Source organism: Homo sapiens, chromosome 2 (genome assembly GCF_000001405.40).
Source record: "Homo sapiens chromosome 2, GRCh38.p14 Primary Assembly".
In the NCBI taxonomy this organism is placed as follows: Eukaryota; Metazoa; Chordata; class Mammalia; order Primates; family Hominidae; genus Homo; species Homo sapiens.
This window is the reverse complement of record NC_000002.12, coordinates 191,857,078-191,877,976: the sequence shown is the minus strand read 5'-3', so window position 1 is coordinate 191,877,976 and position 20,899 is coordinate 191,857,078. Positions and strand designations below refer to the sequence as shown.

Sequence of the window (20,899 nt, the reverse complement as noted above, 5' to 3'; positions counted from 1 at the left end):
GCGTTTTACAATTTTCAAATTGATGAAAGTTTTATGGGGAGATGTAATGAGAATAAGGATGTATTTTATGCAGGGGGGAATGCTATCTGGCAGTAAGAACCAAAGATGAGGATTTAAGAGTCTAGGATTGAATTGGTGGCATCACAAAAGATGTCTTTAGGCATGGATGCTCCAAGGTAGGTCAAAAGAGCATCAACGGAATCATAGATGCTCACTGCTTCCTTTGAAACCTCAAAGACTCCCTGGTTCCCAGGGTATAAGGAGAGGGCAGGATCACCTGTGTGAAGCTGGGCACATTATTGAAAGGAGCACAGCATAGAGCAGAGGTGGCATAACATGATGGTCAGAGGAATGGACTCCCCAGCTCGACTGCCTATGTTTCAATCTGCTTACTAACTGCGTGACCTTGGGGAGAGTATTTAACTTCCTTGTGCCTCAGTTTCTAAGCCATAATGAAATGAAAATAATAATAGTATCTACCCCATAGGGTTGTTACAAGGAGTGAGTAACAGTTGTATAATGCTCAGATCAGTCTCTCATGTAAGTGTGAGCGGTTTGTTTGTTAAGTAAATGAATCAATAATTAAGCAAAGTGGTTTAGATGTACATTCTCTAGACTCAGGTTGCCTAGTTTCAAATTCCAGCTCTCTGCCACTCTACTGGGCAAGTTACTAGTCTTAGGTTACTCACATAATACCATCTACTATTAAATGAGTGGTCTCGGGCAAGTTACTAGCCTATCTGAGCTTGGTTTATTCATATAGCAATATACTTTCTAAAGTTGATATATGTTAGTTTCCTACCCCATACTAGTCTTATCATTAAATTTGATAAGTATGCCATCAACTGACTGGAAAACCTTTAAGTGAGAAAAGGGCAAAGAAAGAAAACAAGACAAACACCCTTTAACATTGCACCAGAAGTATTCTTCCAGGTTAGCATCCACACATAAATCAACCCTCCCTGGGCACAGTCGTTCATCAATTATGACTTCACTTCACAGTGCTGTCATGCAGCCCATATTTGACTATTTAGTCTACAAAAATAATATCTTTTTACTGCATGTTTTTTAGTACACAGTACACAATGATAACACATTCCATTTATATAGCACATTAATGTTTTGTAAAGCCTTTCACATCCATTATTTTATTTAACTAGACATACTGTAAGAGGCTCATTTGTCTTTGAAGAAGCAGCATTGAGGAGGAAAATTCCAAATTTAATTTAAAACCATGTTTTTACTGCTACCAGGAGTTATCATTGAAAATAGTACTTCCATCAATGGTTCTTTTTCAGTGGCAGATGGTAGTCACTGCATCTCTGGATGTTCGCTGCAGTGGACAAAGCCATCCCAACATTAAAATAATTCTTCATGTACTCCCCTTTCCTCTTTTCTGTTTCCATCTAATCTCATATCATCATATCACCCACTATTTTGAAAACATCTCTACTTAAAGGAAAAGTAAAATGTTTTCACAGATGTATTCAGAGTCTCTGCTCATCTACCACTATGGTGAATTTGTCTATAACTCCCTTTCCTTGAGCCCAATACCTGCAGATGAGGTGTGTGCTGCACTCCAACACTTGGTCAGTGTACAGCCTAAGCATTAGTATTACCTCAGTGTTCCTCCTCTTCAGCCCATGATCCCTTTGCCCAGGATTTCCTTGTTTTATTTATTACCTGGACTTCTTTTTTACTTAACAAAAAAGTATTTTATCTCCTACTTTCAAAAGGAATCTGAGGTGTCCTAAAAACACATGAGCAAATCGGGGGTGTAAAGAGAGAAATAAGAAATGGCCTCCCCAGCTCTCCCTCTCACTGTCCTCAGCTTTACCATTGTCGTTCCCATCCATGCTCCACACTCAGACAGAGGTCACTTCATTCCAATAATCACAGTTTTATATCACTCTGTCAAGTGAATGTAAACTTTGGTTGCAGCCAACAGAGTCTTCTAAGGACTAATTTTTTTTTCTACTTTTCCTAACCCAGAATTCTCCATTTAAGGCCCTTGTAGGTCTCTGGAGACCTCATGTGCCTGGTTCTTCCTTTCCTGCCCTCATAACTTTCCCAAGAAGTTTATTTTATTTATTTCACAACATTTATATCAAGGTCTTAGTCTGCTCAGTCACTGTGCCTACTACATACACATGTCCTGTTACATACATCCACATTACATACATGTAATGCATGTGTGCATTACACGATGAGCTCATTTAATCCTCAGAACAATGCTTATGGGTGCTATTACCCACTTCACAAATGAGAAACTAAAATAGAGAGAGGTAAAGTGATTTCCACAATTTCAAGCTGAGTGGCAGAGCCAGGATGGGCCTCTGACAACCTGAGTCTACAGTCCTGCTCTTTACCTTGCCTCCACCCTGCCTCTCTGCTTCAACCACATGGAACAGCTGCTTTCTCAGGAGCACCTAGCGCCCAACTTACTCCTCAACGTGAGGATCATGACCCAACCTCTCCACAAAGCCACTGCAATGGCGTCACTCATTCTCTACCTGGCAGGGGAATTATCTAAATCATCATCACCCTCAAAATGTTGTGGAAATATATTAGTTTCAAAGACCCGTTCCTTGTGATGCTTCTTGATCTGTCTGAAGACCCCTATGGCTCCCCAAGGTCAGAGTACATGCTACTCTTATATTCCAAGCATCCTGTAAGCTGTCGTGTTCCTCCAACACTGGCTTCAATAGTTGGTGACCCACTAGGATTTTTTTGAAAATAATAACTTGAATTTATTGAGAATGAGTTTCATAGACCCAAGTATTTCTGCATTCAGCCTAGAAAGTAATTTTTGCATTGATCCTCATGAACAACATCTGAACTTAGAGATGTGAATGTATTGCCTAGCTTTGGAAGGAAATAGAAATGAAATTGAAATAAAACTACAAACCAGACTTAAAACAAAAAAAGGCATTTCTGAGTTTCTTCTTTTAGAGGAGAAAAAGCATAAGCCTAGTAGGAAAATAATGAGAGAGACAATTTAAAAAGAAATAAAAATGCACATCTCTACTTAGTAAACATCTCCTTTTCTTCCAATAATATATAATATTAATAGTAAAACTCTAGAAAATATTGAACATTTACATAGACCTTCTGTTTCACCAGACTTTTTCATCTCCAGACTTTTGTATTGTTTTTATTATTTCATATGACCTAATAAATTACCAGTAATGTACTGACTTAAAATATTTATTATCCGGAGTACCACATGATCAGTGAAGGATGGCAAATTTCTGTCAAAATAACTCACCCCCATTGATTTTGTATGAAATCGGGCTTTGCCTTTTATTATCTGGCTGAAGGAAAAAAAAAATAGTAACGAGTTCAATCCTTTCTTATTTTTCTATTTCTCCCCATCAACACCACTGCCAAAGAGTGTAAAATGTTTCTTAAATCCTCCCTACCTTTGCCAGTATCACACACACAAAAATGCATTATGCTATTTGAAGAGCAATTTTCTTCTCTAAATGGGTAGCAACTGAATATTAAAGCAGGTTACTTTACACTGGAAGAATACGATTTTTTTTACTTCCCCAAAATTCAACATATTAAAAATGTTTAAACTTGAAACTGACCAAAAAAAAATCATAATATGTTTTGACACTTAAATAGTTGGTTACCTTTTGGAAGATATTTTTTGTTATGGTTCCGGAGCATATGTTGGAGTTACAGTAAGTATTGTTATTTTATTTATTCCTATCAATACATGAAATTAAGTATTTTGAATATATCTATGCTAGTCCCTAATAGATGAGCATAAAGATGTAGCCTGTATCCAAAGCAAGATTGTCACTCACTAATAAATTTCTGAGGGGAAAGAAGAATATACTTCAAACACTAGGTTTTATAGACACCCTACAATGTATAACATTAGTGAATGACCAAGAAACCACCACAAACAATTGAGCAAGGTAGAGCTCACTCACTGTTGGGGAAATTGGCTGTCAAGGTGCCCTTAGAAGCATAGATTTTAAAAACTAAATATTAAAAAAAAATATGTGAAAATGTAGTAAATATTTAACCCCTGAGTGGGCAAGAATTTCTTTCTTTTTTTTTTTTTTTTTTTGAGATGAAGTATTGCTCTCCCAGGCCAGAGTGCAATGGCGTGATCTCAGGCCACTGCAACCTCTGCCTCAAGAGATTCTCCTGCCTCAGCCTCCTAAGTAGCTGGGATTACAGGCACCTGCCACCATGGTGGACAAGAATTTCTAAGCAGTAGAAGAAAGCATATGAATAATGGTTAATTATTTTACTAGATAATTTTTTTTTTGAGATGGGGTCTCACCATATTGCCCAGGCTGGTTTTGGACTCCTGAACTCAAGTGATCCTCCCACCTTGGCCTCCCAAATTATTAGGTCTACAGGTATGAGCCACCATGCCTGGCCAATTTTCAAGTTCAAAACACCAAAAAATAACATTAGTATAATTTAATAATAAATAATATATTGGAGAAATAGCGCACAAAATTCTAGTACACAAAATGTTACATGTAATGTTATCGGAAAGCTTTCCCTTATTAAGAAAAATACTAAAACATTACCAGAAGATGTGCAAAGAACATGAACAGATATTTTACACAACAACAAATACAAGTGACCAACTAACAGAAGAAAATATTTTCTCCTCACTAATAATCTAAGAAATCATAAGTTGAAAAAATATATTTTAAAAAATATCTATTGAAAGTTTTTTTAATTAAAATATTCAATTGTGATGAAAATGTTGGGGAAAAAAGTGGTCATAAATATTGTGCCATGTGTATAACTGATGTGATCTTTCTTGAAAGTGATCAGGCAATAAAGATAAAGAACTTATAATAAAATTAGACACTTAACCCAATAATTCTTCCCATAGGAATCTAACCAAAGGCACTAAGAAGCATTTATGTACCAGAATATTCATCATAATAGTATTTGGTAGCAAATTTTCTAACACTGAAAAAATTGTTTTGAAAATGGTTATATTCACGATAGAATATTATGCAATTATTTTTAAAATCACAAATGAGACAAGTAATGTTTTCAAATTTCAAAATCATGACTTGAAGCAATGTTTTTAGTATGTAAAAAAACAAAACTATCATGATACTACATAGTACATCACATAATCTCAGTTATGTATATTAAAAATATACATATAGAGGCATTAAAAGCCAATATATTAATAGCTATTACCTCTTGAGTAATGAAATTATAAGTGATTTCTATATTTTTCTTTATACTTCTCAGCATTTTCTATAATGACCATGTATGATAATATTACTATCATTGTCAGGGAAAAATAAGATCTTAGTTATGTATTTATTGATAAAAACATACTTAAAGTAGGAAGACTTACTTTCTGGAATAACTTTAAAAACAAGTCAGACTCATGCATAAGCAAAGTAGACATTTGACTTTAGTATGACTTTAAATTTGCCAAAAACAAATTCCCACAATGATCTATCCTAGTCTTCTTATTGATTTGCAATTGTTGTTGGGGGAAAAATCTCTACAGATCTCTCTTGTGTCTGCATGTCTTTATTCTCTTTGTTGGGGGTGGTGGGGGGGCAGAGGGGTATGGAGTCTCACTGTCATCCAGCCTGGAGTGCAGTGGTACAATCTCTCCACACTGCAACCTCTGCCACCAGCTCAGGTGTGCCTCCTGCCTCAGCCTCCTGAGTGTCTGGGACCACAGGCACATGCCGCCTTGCCCAACTAATTTTTTCTGTATCTTTGGTAGAGACAGGGTTTTGCCACATTGCCCAGGCTGGTTTTGAACATCTGAGCTCAAGTGATCCGCCTGCCTCAGCCTCTCAAAGTGCTGGGATTACAGGCATAAGCCACCACACCCAGCCTTTATTCTCAATTATCTTACCTAGTATGTTTGCTTTGTGAACAGTCTTGGAATATATAGTGTCTCTCTTGAAAACAAAGGGTATACATGCTTGCTGCCCATTATAATAGATTCCGGTTCACTAAGTTTCTGGATTACCCTGTTGTAATACAACCCACTGCATGTGCTGGTGTCACCTGGCCCTCTTTGAAACACCTTGTGAGAATTGAAACAATGAATATCTGGCTACTAGAATTGCTTTGAGTAATACATTGTCCTCTATTTCTGACCCAGAAGTCTCTTATCTTCTTCCAGCATCCATGAAACTATGGAAAGCCAACTAGTTAGCTTGCAAGTACAACAAAGTCTCAAACCCTTTACAATGCTTGACAGTTATATGAGAGGTGAGATGTATTTAGCCACCTTTAAAAGTTTGTTTTCTATTAATATGTACATACATTCAGGAGGGATAGGACTTAAGCTTTATCAATCATTTATAATTTACTATGTGAACGAATTTACACAAATTTTAATAAAAACAAGTTTAGATAGGGGAGAATATGAACTTTCACCCTTAGCAATTGAGCTCAGTAGATACTGGTACACAAAACAGGAAAGTGAATTCTCTTCAAAGGGAAGTGGGTAGAAGCAGGCAACCTGTGAATAGAGTGACCATGTAATTCATGGTCACTTCAGAGTATAACAGGATGTTACTGAACAATAAATTAAATAAAGAGTAGTAAATTTATAGCTTACAATAAATGACAAAACCACTGTAACAAGAATATTCAAGCTACCCTAGAACCCCATTGCAGAACTGCTTGGTTCTACCTAATTTCTCACACCTAGAGGTTCTGTACCCTGACTCAAAAGAGCATCTTCATCCAATAGTACAACAGCACAGTGCTAAGCTCAGTAACAGGTTGATTGTCAAATGTAGAAATTTCATACGGCATAGCACGTAGACTGGGGAGGTTTTTTTTTTTTTTTTTTTGTATTCTTTGATAGGATATTTTAGTACTAGCCACAGTTTGGATTTTTTTAAAGAGGGAAAAAATGATGTGCTTTTGAGTGAAAATTTTCTCTAGTGGAGAAATTTATAAGGAAAAGTGGAAGGGTCCACTTGCAAGCAAACCCAGTTCCATCTCTGTTTTCAGGAGCTAAATACTTTCTGCAGCACACAGCCTCCACTTGGGGAGCCACTGGGTCATGCCTATTATGATCTCCAACTTGGCATTAACCAAGATTGATGTTCAACTTGATTCCCATGTAAATGCTCTTGCTACCCCAGAGATGCTTTTTAGTTAAGTTGTTGTCTAAAAGAAAAAATATACATAGACTGATTTTTTTCTAAAAAATTCTCCAAAATATAAAATTCAAATAAGTTAAAAAAAAGTAGCTGATTCAAATGCTTTGTACCAAAGAGAAGAATCATATCATTATTAAGTGGTGACAAGTGGATAAAAAGAGAACCACACACTCAAAGACTGCAAATTTCAACTCTTGAAAATTCCACAGGTACTCCACCTCTCTGTAATCTCTAAATTAGGGAACATGTGGTCAGTACTGCTCAGAGAACTCTATACTTCAGAAAAACTAATATGTAAAAGCAAGTTTAATATTGATGAAAATGACCTTTATTTGGATATGGAAATATTAACTCACGGAGCCAGAGTCTATTAAGGAATGTTGAAAACATTCTTGTGTGTTGTTAGTATTGTTTTAACTGTAGTGCTTTATTTGCATTAATCTTGGAAAAAGCCCATTATGATGCTGGATTTCCCTAACTCTTTTCTCTTCTCTCTTTGAAGAGAAAAAAAAACAGAAAGAAAATAGGAAAAGCTCCTGAATTCTTACATGGTGTGTGAATCCACTTAACACAATTATAATGCCCAATTAATCTTAGCAACATGAGTGATGAATCATTTCTCCAGGTGTCTCTTCAAAATAAAGTAAATTTAGTTCCAACATTTGACTATTGTTTTAAATCAACCGTAAGCCTGCCATATTAATGAGGAAGCTAATAACTGAACTCCAATCCATATTCAAAAATGCTCTCTCCCTGGGTGCCCACATAACAGCACACTGACTACCCTGGATACTAATTTTTTTTAGGTAATACAAGAAACAATGACTGAATTTCATCATTCGTGTCCCTTTTTATAGCTTGATTTGATGGTATCTCCTGCCATCTACTGATAGATAAAAAAGATAAAAACAACTTTTCTGAATCATTTGGCCATTATACCATAGACGATCAACTGCCATCTTTTGCTTGAATGTGAAAAATCACCTAATACATCAGGATTTTCACATACATAAACTAGCGATAGTTTTGCTTCTAGTGGAAAACCTTTGGTTGTAGACACATTTTACATTTGAAAGCATTATCATATAGGAAAAATATCGGCTTTGGAGTCACAGACTCTAGGTGACCCCTCATCCAAGAGCACAGACTCATGTTCTCAGCTTAATTTTCTTATTCTAAAATAAAAGTGGGGTTTCCACTGGAAATGTAAAGAAGATAAAAAAAAGTAGGGGTCAAGGTAAGAGGGATACTTCCTCCCACCTCCAAGATGCTCTAAATTTTACAGGACGCTTGACTTCTTGATAAATACAGTTGCAAAGAACAGGTCATTCACAGATTTACGGCTGACTCAATTAGCAGCTCAGAGCGCCACCCGTTGGTCATAGTCAGAGTCCTCATCTCCCTCTGCAGAAGGCTCCTCTCTGTCTTGTCTGTTTACATCTAAACACTGCACTTCCTGCCTATCCCCAGTGAGCAACACCTTTACGAGCTGCCTGCAGCCCCTCCTCATGTTGACACAGCTACCTTAACCATGAAAGACTCCTTTGCACTTGCACAGAAAGTCAGCATGTGAGTAGCCATTAAGCTGTTGCATTTTAATGACTTTGCCAGCTACGCTGCAGCTGACTTCAACTCCCAACTCAGCCATAGATATGCTTGATTCTTTTTCTAACCATTGAAGAGCAGTCAGTCCAATGAATTCATACTTATCTGAGGATCACTTATATGGCAACTTCAAATGTCTAGGACCCCACTGAGAACCAAAGATGGACACACAAAAAAACCCATGAAATGTGGTTAAAGGTCTCCAAGAAGGCGAAACACATGTCACCAAACTCATTCACTAAAGTTCAGGAAATTGACAAGAGAGGTTCTTCTGCCCCGTTCAAAGACATATATTATCAATATAAATAAATTTCTAAAGTTAGCCATGTTGGATTTTTAGCCATGGCCATTGAAAAGCAGCAGATTAAACAGCAGAAGAAAGTCTATTAGAGATAGTGGCAGCCATGAGAAGTGACAGCCAAGCATCTGACAGTAAATAGAAAAATGAAAATGCTACATTATCTTAACTAAATCTTTTATGAAAGCAAAATGTGTAATTCATGTAGAAAGATTAGTATTAAAATTTGTTAAGGCCAGGTGTGGTGGCTCATGCCTATAATCTCAGCACTTTAGGAGGCCAAGGTGGGCAGATCACTTTGAGCTCAGGAATTGAAGACCAGCATGGGCAACAAGGCAAAACCCCATCTCTACAAAAACATACAAAAAATTAGCCAGGTGTACTGGCTCATGCCTGTAATTCCAGCTACTAGGGAGGCTGAGGCAGGAGAATCGCTTGAGCCCAGGAAGTAGAGGTTGCAGTGAGCTGAGATCATGCCACTGCACTCCAGCCTGGGCAACAGAGTGAGATCCTGTCTTAAAAAACAATGACAAAAAGAAATCGGTTAAAGTAAAAAGTGGCCAGAGGCATTAAAAGTATTCGTTTTAGATAAGAAAAATTTACTACGGCCAGGCACAGTGGCTCACACCTGTAATCCCAGCACTTTGGGAGTCCAAGGCGGGCAGATCACTTGAGGTCAGGGATTCGAGACCAGCCTAGCCAAATCCCATCTCTACTAAAAATACAGAAATTAGCCGGTGTGGTGGCAGGTGCCTGTAATCCCAGCTACACATGGCGCTGAGGCAGGAGAATCACTTGCACCTGGGAGGCAGAGGTTGCAGTGTGCTGAGATCATACCACTGCACTCCAGCCTGGGCAACAGAGCAAGACTCTGTCTCAAAATAAATAAATAAATAAATAAAAGAAAATTTTACTGTGTAGACTTTCTTGTTTCTGAATGATTTTAGGAAGATGAAATATTCCAATAGAATTAAAAAGGGTGTTGACACAGCTAGGTTCTTCCATGACCAAGGTCTTCAAATGGCTGAGTACTTCAACTCAAAAAGTTGTTGATTTTCCAGTGACCTTTCCCAGCCTGCTCCCTTACACCACACTCTCAATTCCTGGATTCTTAAGTGTATAATGTATGCAACATAAACTTTTCTTCATAATTCAGGTTCTTCTCTATTGATATCCTTGGTCAAAACGGTGATGCCTGAGGGCAGAGTTGTAGAACTGTATAACCCTCTACAAAGGGGCACCTGGCCAGAACACTGTTGCAGTACTTTTGCCTATTTTTGTCCTGGTACATAATATCAAATGCTAGTTTGCAAGGTGGCTGGGATTCACAGTTTGGAATGTGGCCTTCTTCCCTCAGGGATTTCTCCTTTTACTCAGTTATTTCCCCAAGTCCTCAGTGGAATGCTCTCCCCTTCAACACTGTCCTAATCCTAGCAGGCTCTGGGTTTATCCAAACTGAGTTTTTGAACAGTCACACCAGGTAGACCAGGCAAGTTTCTCTCACACTTGACCTCAGTTTCCACCATTAGTACTGTCATGTGAAGCAAAGTATGTCAAAAAACGATAATGTGTAACAGATTGCAAGAAAAAATATGAATATGCTTCTGCCTCCCTCGGATTTGCCCTTTTACTGTCATGCACTGGGGTGTGAAGAAGCACAGCTTGGGAGGAATTTGACCTACTCTGTAAAGGTCATGAAGTTTCCAACAGAAAGTGATGACTCATGTTCCATACTTCCTGATATTTCAGAGTGTTCAGGAAAAAATGCAATCTAGTGCAGCACACCCTTTCTTTCCAACAGTTTCTTGCCAGTTCACAGTACTTGTGAATTTCACTACAAAGGGAAGTTCAAGAGCCAAGGTGAGGGAAACTGCTAATGTGAACAAAAGTTCAAAAGCAGGGCAAGAGGAGGCAGGCCTCTCTGTGCCTTGTGTTTACAAAAGAGGCAGGTTTCATCCAAACACACAGATCTTTCTCGCACAAATATGTGGCTCAGTGTTTTGGCATCTTTCAAAGCAAAGTTTTAGAGGCTGCTTTTCCTCCCCAGTTCTGTACACACACATATGCACGCACACACAAACACCAGCTTTGAAATCGGCTGGTATTGTCTCAGAACTTGAAACGCACCCAGCATTTGACCTTAACTTTCCAACACTTCAGGAAGCAGGAATTCTCACACCCTTAGGCCTCGAGTTAAATGAACCCATGGAAATCTCTTTCCAAAAGATGGTTAATTGTACACACCACATATGTATCATTTTCCCTTCTCACTGAAAACATACAAGGTCACACATTCCAAATCTTGACACAAGTTCCTCATCTAACAATCAAGCAATATGGCTACATAACAAACATACACAACTTGTGAGATCTATTTGCCATCTGCATGTGAACCTAGGAAACAAGAACTGAAGGGCATTCCCTTCTTGGAGCTGTAGTGAAACAATTAGCTCCAACTTTTCTTTGTCCTGTGTCATAGCACTCAACATTCAAATTCAAAGAAAGAGACACTTGGCCAAGCATCAGTCAGTTCTCATCCGTTAGCCTGGGAGAGGCCAAGATTCTTTATCCGAGGAAGCATCAAAACAGCCTGCAGGGGTCTCCCAAAGAAAAATGAGGGTGCTGTTACCAGAGGTTACGGGAATGTATACTAGGTAGGAAAATCCACAGGTTAGCTCTGCAAACAAGAAGGTAACAAGATGGCCAAGCTCAGTTCGGATTTTTAGAACGTTGGTCAGGCAATAATGAGGAGCCATGGATAACTGGTTGATGTTGTAAGTTTTCCTTCATATAGGATTATGTACTCAAACAGAGAAAACAACTAAAAAATAAAAATAAAGGACATAAGACCAACTTCATTACAGCCATGTAATTGGTTCGATTATCTTACTAAGGAATGTAGGAAGAAAGAAATAGACTTTCAAGCCTTTGTCCGTCCTCTGTCAAAATGAAAATAGAACAAGAAACTCCTGATTCAGAAAATTATAGAATATTTGAATTACACGGAATCTTTACAGGTCTGGCTCAACTACTTACTCAGTGCAGGAATTTTCTCCATAAGATCTTGTAGCTTTTGCTTGCAGACATACATTCCATCATTGTACAACTAATAAGCAGAATGACCGTCCTTATATAGAATAAAAATCTGTTTACCCATGAATCCTACATATTGATTCTAGTTCTGCTGACTGGAACTGCATGGAAAAAGAAAAATAATCATTTGCATTTTCACATGACAGCCTTTCCAAAGTTTGAATCATGGCCACTACCCTCCTCCAAAAAATAATAACGATAATAATAATAATTGATCCCTCTAGGCTGAACATCTCCAGTTTCTTTCAATGGTTTCTTATGGCACTTTGCGGACTCTTCGCCATTTTGTATAGCTCTTTTCTATACAGGTACTAGTTATGCAGACATGAATGTAGTTACGTTTTTCTACCTTGTTCCAAAAAGATTTCTGGTGGCTGAGTTCCAGTTTGTCAATACTCCTTTAAAAAATATGATGCCCAAAATGAAACACAATACTCCAGAGTCAGAAAGCAAATGTACTATTCAGCATACTTCACAGATAGGCTACCATATGTCACTAAGTGTTTCGGGATCTGCCGTCATTGAGGAGGAGGAAGTACAAGACTGCAGGGGAGTCAAGACAGAGTCCTGGGTTGTGTTCCAGTATCATTCAGTGTGAAATATACCCTATATAAAGAAAACAACAGATGTAATGTGCTGCTTTTCATACAAAACTCTTCCAACACAGGAATATCTTATCATAGTCACAATCTAATGTTGCCTCACACCCCCTAGGGGAAATTCCCCGGGGATGTGTTAGAAGAGGAAACTGCCTTGAAAGAAATTTTTCAGGCACATTAGAGCTGACAGAAATCAGCTCTGATGTCAGGACTGGGTATGTGTAGGATCTAACTAGGAACACAGACCAGGTGCACTCAATGAGCCATCACAGCCTGTCTTGAAAGCCGCCTCCTAGATGCTCCTGGTGCTGAAGATTTTAACTCTGTCTGATTCTGGGGTAAGAAGAGAAAAATGAGGGTTGGAAAGGTAGGAGGTTGTAATCACAGGGATATGAAAAGCACATTTCGCAAGTTCAATACATTCCCTGTGCCTGCTAGAACAAACAACATAGAGGAGCCTCCTTTGATTTGCAGTTGATTGTAAACTGTCTGGCTCCCTGTGATTTTACAACTGTTTCAGCTAATTCGGAAATTTAAAAATCCAGCCCAGGGACCATCTTGTGCATTTATGAGGCATCTAAAAGATTACTGGTTCTCAAGCGAGGGGATACCTTACATTTTCCCCCACTCACAACTCACGTTTCCTCTGTTCCTAAAATATGCACACACAAAGGACATGGATCAGCATGGGGTGTGTGTGTGTGTGTGTGTGTGTGTGTGTTTGATAATAGTTTTCTTTTAATTCAAGCGTAATTATTTACTTTCCAATTCTCCTAAGCAATGACAATCAATTCTCTATGTTTTGTCTAAAGTCTACTCCTGAACTTTTCATACTTACCACTGAAAATAATGACACAGTGGTTAGTACTTGTAGAAATGTGACAGTGAACTTTTTTAAGCTGTTTTTGAACTCCGTCTTGTCAAAAGAAAAATAAATGAAAGCCCTGCATGGTGACTCTAGCTAACACTGACTACATCTTGCTTATGCAAACCTGCACTGGGACTGTAGCATTTCTCCACCAGTAGCACAACCCTGCTAGAGATGAAAGGCGTGTCATACTGGTATTCTGTAGAAGCATGGAAGTTATCTCACACTCATATTTCAAGAGAAGCCTGCCAAAACCAATCCTGTTTGAAAAGCTAGCCTGCAACATAATGTTCACTTTCTTGGGAGGAACTCTACTTCCTATGCAACACAAACTGCTGCATCCCAAAAGCAAAACACTGAAATATTTGTAGTGTAGAAATCCACCTGTATTTTTATATATGTATGTTACATGGAAAATAAGTACCATAAGGGCAGGAAATTTTTGGTGGGGGAAGGGTCTGTCTTGTTAACTGATTTATCCCAAGCACCCAGAACAGTGCCTAGCTCACATTTGTTGAATGAATGATATGGCTGAGAATCACTGTCCCAAATCCAGTTCTGAGAAAATACTGCTGCTGGACCCACTATTCTGCTTAGAAACATTAAGAAGTAAACAATCCTTTGCTAGCAAATATCAGCATACAGACTAACATGGTGATGGACGTTAAATGAGGAGCCTCCGTAGAAGATAATATTTGGATCCATGTACATATAAAAAGTTGCGTTGATGTTTTACTGACCAAGAGATCGTTTTTCATATCTTTTGATTTTATCCGAACAAGTTTATGAAGAAAAGACTGGTAGTCCTCACAATCAGGTGTTTTCATCTTCGTGTCTACTAGGAATTTAAACTTTTATAACTTTTATAACTCTCTTAACTCAAGCAATTGCAAGGTATTAAAACAATAGGACAGATGAGTTGAGCCCTGATGCCAATAGACATCTCTAGTAAGATTGAAAAACTGGAATGTGGAGGACTCAGTGCCAATAGAGATGTGAGACTGAAACTGCAGGGTAAAGGTATGGTTGCCAGAAACCAGCAGAGCAGAGGGCCTGCAGTCAGGAGGCCAGGCAAAGGGGCAGAGCTCAGAGGAATAGCCCACCAGCCTCTCCACTGCCCACCTTGAAGGATGAAAAAGAGAATGGACAGGCTCCTTGACAAATGTGCTTGGCTGTCCCCTTAGTTCTAATAATTGTTCTGTTTTATTATATGTTCATGCCTGTTTAACAATTAGCAGATCTGGTAGATGGATGAACCAGGAGTGTCGGCATGAAGATCCTGCAGGCAAACATTAGCACTGGTTTTCTAGCCACAAAACATTATTTCTGATAGGTATATTAATAACAATAATAACAACAACCATAAAGTATTCATAACCATCTTATTGATAAGTGACATTTTTTCCTCTAGAAACTTCAAAAACCTCATGTTATTATTTGTACATAAGTAAGAATTACAGGTTAAACAATTTACCCATGCTTATTGTTGTCAGTAGCAGAGTCAGAAAGCCCCATGCTGGTCTACACCATACACATGTATAGATTCTATTAGATTGCTACATGGTTTGTTTTGATGGTTTCACAAAAATTCTATAGTGGTGCCATATTTGAAAATGAAAGAAATTAGAAAAATGTTTATTACAGGGTTGTATTTTTTCCCTTCAGACTCAGACCAAAGATTTAAAGCCTGAGTCAAATATTATTTATTCTCCACTGTACTAATTTCAAGGACTAGCATCTTTGGGTCTAACACCAGTCATATTTGGATTGCCAAGCCCTGATGAGCAAGCCAAAATATATGTGGTGGGTCATAGGGAAAAAAATGTTTAGGTACATTGGAATCAACATTAACTGTACTTTAAAAGTGTTAAAAACCAGCTCTGAGACACAGGTTTTCCCAGAGCCAAGATAACATGAAAAAATTTTCATGTACTTGGAGCCACGAGAGAAACGAAGAGCCAAGTTCTGTCATCTGGTGCATATTTCCAAGGGGCCGACTAGAGCCCCTGGGACTGACTCCTCAGACCTTTCCCAGGAAAGTCTTCTAATGTCCCTAACAGAATTCACAAATGGGACCTTGGGAATCACTCGCAATGAGATAACATAGAAACATCTTTGTTTCCAAGTCATCATTTCCTCCAAATGAAGATGGAAGCTAAGCTTTCCAATTGGAAATTTCCACAAATGATGAGAATGTGTATTTAATGATTATGGCTTTATATTTCATTGACCTTATCCCCATTCAATGTATATAAAAATAAAAAAGAAGCTTAAATTCAACCAAATTAACTCTGCTTTTTAGACCTCTTTCATTTTTTAGTAGCTATAGAGTAAATATTATAGGTGAAGATTATGATACTATTCCAACATCCTCTTCAGGGATGTGAACACCGGGAAAGGGGTACAAAAAGCTGTCTCTGTGGAGCCATGGAAAGAGTGTAGACCAGGAGGCAGGAGGGGTGACTCTGGCCCAACCTCCCAGCTCACTGGTTGTATGATGTAAGGCAAGTCATATAATAGTTTTTTGCCTGTTTTATCATCTGTAAAATGAAAGGGCTGAATAATAATGATGGTGACAATAATAATAAAGGTAGCAATAATAATAGACAGGTGGGAGAGCTTGGTAGTGATCATTTAATCCTTTCAACATCCCTGTGATTTAAAATAATTGTCTCCATTGTATCATTGAGAAAACAGGCTCAGATATAGTAATTTCCTTAGCTCAATGGCAAACAGAGGTGAACTTACTGAGAAATTAATAAAGTTTAAGCTTCTGAGGCCCTTATTTGCATAAGCCCCCTTCCAAGACTCTGTACCTAACTTTATATTCTCTATCTTAAAGAGGGTTTCTAAAATTGTCTAAGTCCTAGGCCCCATAAGAATTGGATTTGCCCCTAATGCAAGCAAGAGATGAAGCTGGAATTCAAATGCAAGTGATCCAATGCGAAAGCCTGAAATCCTACTCCCCCTACTGAACCTGCTCCCTTTCAAAGATTCCTTTGTTCCTCATAGCTCTCTAAGCTATCTATTGTGGACTGAACTATGTCCTCTCTAACTTCACATGTTGAAGCCTTAACCCCCAAGGTGACTGTATTTGGAGATTGGGCCTACAAGGATAATAAGGCTGAACAAGGTCCTAATCATTTAACCTTAAGTGGAGTCCTATTCTAAGAGGATTGATGTCCTTATGAGAAAAGGAAGAAAGAGCATAGCTTTCTCCCTGTGTGTGCACCAAGGAAAGGCTGCAAGAGGACAGAGTGAGAAGGAGGCCATCTAAAAGTCAGGAAGAGACCTTCCCTGGAAACAGGATTTGCTGGCACCTTGATCATGGACTTCTAGCCTCCAGAACTGTGAGAAAATAAATATCTGTTTTTAAGCCACCCAGCATGTAGTATTTTGTTATGGCAGCTAGAGTAGCCTAATACACTATCCTATGCCTGCCCCATCCCTGTAGTTTCCTATATCTCAAATAATAGGAGTGCCTACATTTCCTTTACAGGGTCATTCCACAAAGTAGTATCTTAGCTACAGTCAGGAAAACATTTTTCTGAACCTAATTTTGTATTATTTCTCCTAGAAATTAAAATGCCTTCCTTCTCTCTGGTTTTGAGGAAACAGTGGAATATTAAATTTCCAATGACAGACAGCAGAAGTCCAAGTTCTAATATCAATTAATCCTGATTTGCTAATGATAAACCGGGCTTTCATGTGCAAGCCATTCTAGTATCCTCAGGTTTAACAACTTCATCTGCATAAGACCTTTGGTTAGAAATATTAATCAAGACTATACTACAGAAACTTTGCTAATATAATACAAAAAATACTACTTGATTCCTCTTTACACGGTGTAATAGTCACAAGTCCCTCAGTAAGAAAAGTGAATTAAGTGGACAATCCAATCACAAGATTGTTTTGAACTCAATATAGGATGCTAAACATATATCTGAACACAACCAACAGTTTATTTACATTTCTCACTGATTCCTCCGTTCTTATTTATTTAATTGACATTTACTCATTCATTCACTCATTCATGCACAAATATGTGTTTAAATACCTACTGTCATTTAAATGGGCTACAACAGTGGGTAGGCAGAATTATAAGGTGGCCTCCAGGATCCCCACCGCTGGTCTACCTGCCCTGTATAATCCTCACCCCTCGAGTATGGTGACACCTGTGAATATGATGAGATATCACTCCTCTGATTACGTTACATTAAGTAGCAAAGGTGAAGATATTTTGCAGATGTAATTAAGGTCTCTAATCAGTTGACTCTGAGTTAATGACAAGGAGATTATCCTGGGTGTGTTTGGCCTAATTAGGCAAACCCCTAAAAGAGGGTCTAGAGATAGGAGACTCTCCTGCTGGCCTTGAAGAAATAAACTGCCATGTTGTAAGAATGTCTCATGTCTAGACCCTTGGGTAGTCTCCAGGAACTGAGAGCACTCCCCCTCACCCTGGTTTACAGCCAGCAAGAAAAAAAGGATGTTAGTTCTACAGCCACAAGAAGTTGAAATGTGCCAACATCCTGAATGACCTCAAAAGAGGACTCCAAGTCTTAGATGAGACTGCAGCCTAGCCAATACCTTGATATCTGCCTGGTGAAATTTTGAGCTAACCCTAGTGAAACCCAGCAAATCTAACCCTGGACTCCTGACTCACAGAAACTGTGAGACAATAACTGTGCGTTGTTTTAAACTGCTAAGTTTATGGTAATTTGTTACAAATAATAGAAACATAATACAAACCATGAAAAATATAGACAAAGTCCCTGCCTTCCTGGAGCTTTAGATCTAGTGAGTGACACAGGCAAAGAGCAGCTCACAAACAGTATTATTTCAATTACACAGTGGTATGTGAAGAGTATGCAACAGGGTGCTCAGGGAGAGAAAGACTGAGGATGGCACCCCTATAAGGTAGGATGGTCAGGGAAGACTAGCTGAATAATGAGAGGGAAAAAAGCCAGCCATATGAGAATGAATAGGAAGAACTCCAGGCAGAGAAAACAGCAAGGGAGATGCCCTCAGCGGCACTGGCTATATCATTACAAAATTAACTCCAAGAACCACATGGAGACACTGATACATAAGCTCATTTATTCACTGAATGTTTAATTTAATATAAATGTATAACTGCCTAAAAAATATGTTTCAGTAGAGTGGGTCCCATTGGACATTAATCGGTTTAACTGCCGTTAGCGAAAGTTCTAATTATAGTAGCCTTTTAAATTTGGCTTTTCTTCAACCTTTGCCAGGTGGAAATGTGTCTTATAGGACTCACACTTAGCACATAATGGAAATTCAAAAAGACAGTTATTGAATTGAAATGAATGCTGCAACTTTATTTAAAGTTTCATGTTTGTTTGATTCTTTTAGGGTAGAATGTTGTCTCCTGTTAGGAGGACATAAAGATAAACAGCAATTAAATTGTACTCTATCCAAGACCTCTGATGTATAAGTCAAGATCTGAATGATGAAATATACAGCAGAAAGACTATATGAAGTGAATACATGCAAAATGAGGTAGCATAGGTAATTTTGGCTAGCTGACTAGTATTTATTGAGCTGTATGTAATAGGCACTCTGTGGTGTCATCAAATCCACAAAACATTAACACCACAATAGGTATTATTATTAGCACAGTTTTATTTAATAAGAAAAGTGAGGCTTCAAAAGATTAAGTAATTTTCTCAATATTATACAACTAGAATAATAAGCTGGAACTCGAATCTAGGTAACTGACTCTAAATCCCAGCCTGTGAACCACTAGCTGTAAGATGATTGCAATGACGACTAAAATGCACTGAGTTTTTAACCACACGAAAGGCATTAGACCAAGCACATTACATGTAGAACTAATTTAACCCTCAGACCAACCCCATGAAGTAGGTACTCTTAATGTTTCTCATTTTATAACTCATTTTATAGCTAAATCTCAGAGAGGTTAAGAGACTTGCACAAGGTCACTTAACCCTTGTAAGGCTTAGTCCCTTTATCCTAAAATGGGGCCTCAATACATGGACCTTTTCCCAGACAGTCTGGCACCACAGCCCACACTCAACCAGCACATGACACTGCTGCACTGGTATCAAACCTATGATCCAAAATAAAATAATACTTACTCCAAAACATACATAGCATATATTCTGTTCCTCATTACTCTGGTGTCAAGTTTACATAGCTAAACTATGTAACGTACATTTGGACATTTTAACGTCATCATTAATGTAATTCATTTTAGTTGCCTTTTTTCTTTTCCTCTGGACTGTCTAGTTATCTTCCATTGCTTGGCCAGTGGCCAGGGCTGGAGTAAGATGTTCTCTCCCGTCCCTACCCAAATCTCAAATTTGATTAGTAACTAAAATGTTATGCTCTGCAATTGAGGCTAAAAAAAATTAATTAAAATGAGTGCAAATTGCTTGTCTACATTATAACCTATTGTAATAAGTATTTTGTAAAAGTGGGGCTAATAAGACCAGGGGACTTCCTTGTTTTGTAAAAATAAGACCAAAGTGACTTCTAAATCCAAACAAAGTAGAGAATATTTCTCAAACTAAATAAGGTGACAAGGGTGTATCCTAAGGGCGGAATTACAGCTAACATATAGAAAGTTTGTATTTAATCAATTGTATTGTAACCTATCCAGGGCAACAAATGTGCACCAGAAGGGATATGGTCTGTGTGGAATCTAGAAAAGGAGATCCAAAAAGGAAACACCTGTCAGTGTTTATTCAGCTACGTCCTGGGAAGAGAGGACTCTGGGTCTACAACAGTGTTTTTCAAATTGTGGGTTGTGACTCATTAGTAGGTCATGAAATCAAATTATTGGATAGCAACTGACATTTTTAACAAGTAAAATGAAATAGATCAGAGTACACTGAATGAGGTAAGATTAAGTATTGTTTTGTGAAACTTCTGTTTCTATTATAAATATTTACATATTCATGTATGTCTGAGTGTGCATGTACTTTTTGATATGATAATGCATTTCACTCTGTGGATGAATAAATGAAAACCATTGGTAGACAAATCTTATTGAAGTTTTCTAAGCCAGGGGTTCTCAGACTTTGGGATTTCATGAAACCATAAATCAAATCACACTCCAAAAAAGGAAAAATTGGGACCTGATAGGGTCGCCAGTATTCTTATTCTGTAAAGTTAAAAGTAATTTAAAAAAAATTGTACTATAATGTCTTAAAATCAACATTTTGACATCAGTAATAACAATGACATAATCAAAAATAAAGCACATTCTTCTAAATTAAATACATTTAGTTTTATGGTAAGTCCACTG

General features: G+C 38.0%; 1 long non-coding RNA gene across 1 annotated transcript in view, besides 2 other annotated features; it reads right to left on the bottom strand.

The window, feature by feature from the left end:
• Positions 1-20,899, bottom strand: part of CAVIN2-AS1 (CAVIN2 and TMEFF2 antisense RNA 1) — a 217,342-nt gene that overhangs the window by 185,853 nt on the left and 10,590 nt on the right. The gene's annotated exons all lie outside the window — the stretch shown is intronic.
• Positions 8,420-8,714: an enhancer, noted in NCBI's record as "tiled region #2977; K562 Activating DNase unmatched - State 8:EnhW". NCBI's record gives its function as "activates a minimal TATA promoter and a strong SV40 promoter by Sharpr-MPRA in K562 cells {active_cell/tissue: K562}" and the evidence as "EXISTENCE:reporter gene assay evidence [ECO:0000049][PMID:27701403]".
• Positions 10,660-10,954: an enhancer, noted in NCBI's record as "tiled region #6341; K562 Activating DNase unmatched - State 5:Enh, and HepG2 Activating DNase unmatched - State 1:Tss". NCBI's record gives its function as "activates a minimal TATA promoter and a strong SV40 promoter by Sharpr-MPRA in K562 cells, with weak activation in HepG2 cells {active_cell/tissue: HepG2 | K562}" and the evidence as "EXISTENCE:reporter gene assay evidence [ECO:0000049][PMID:27701403]".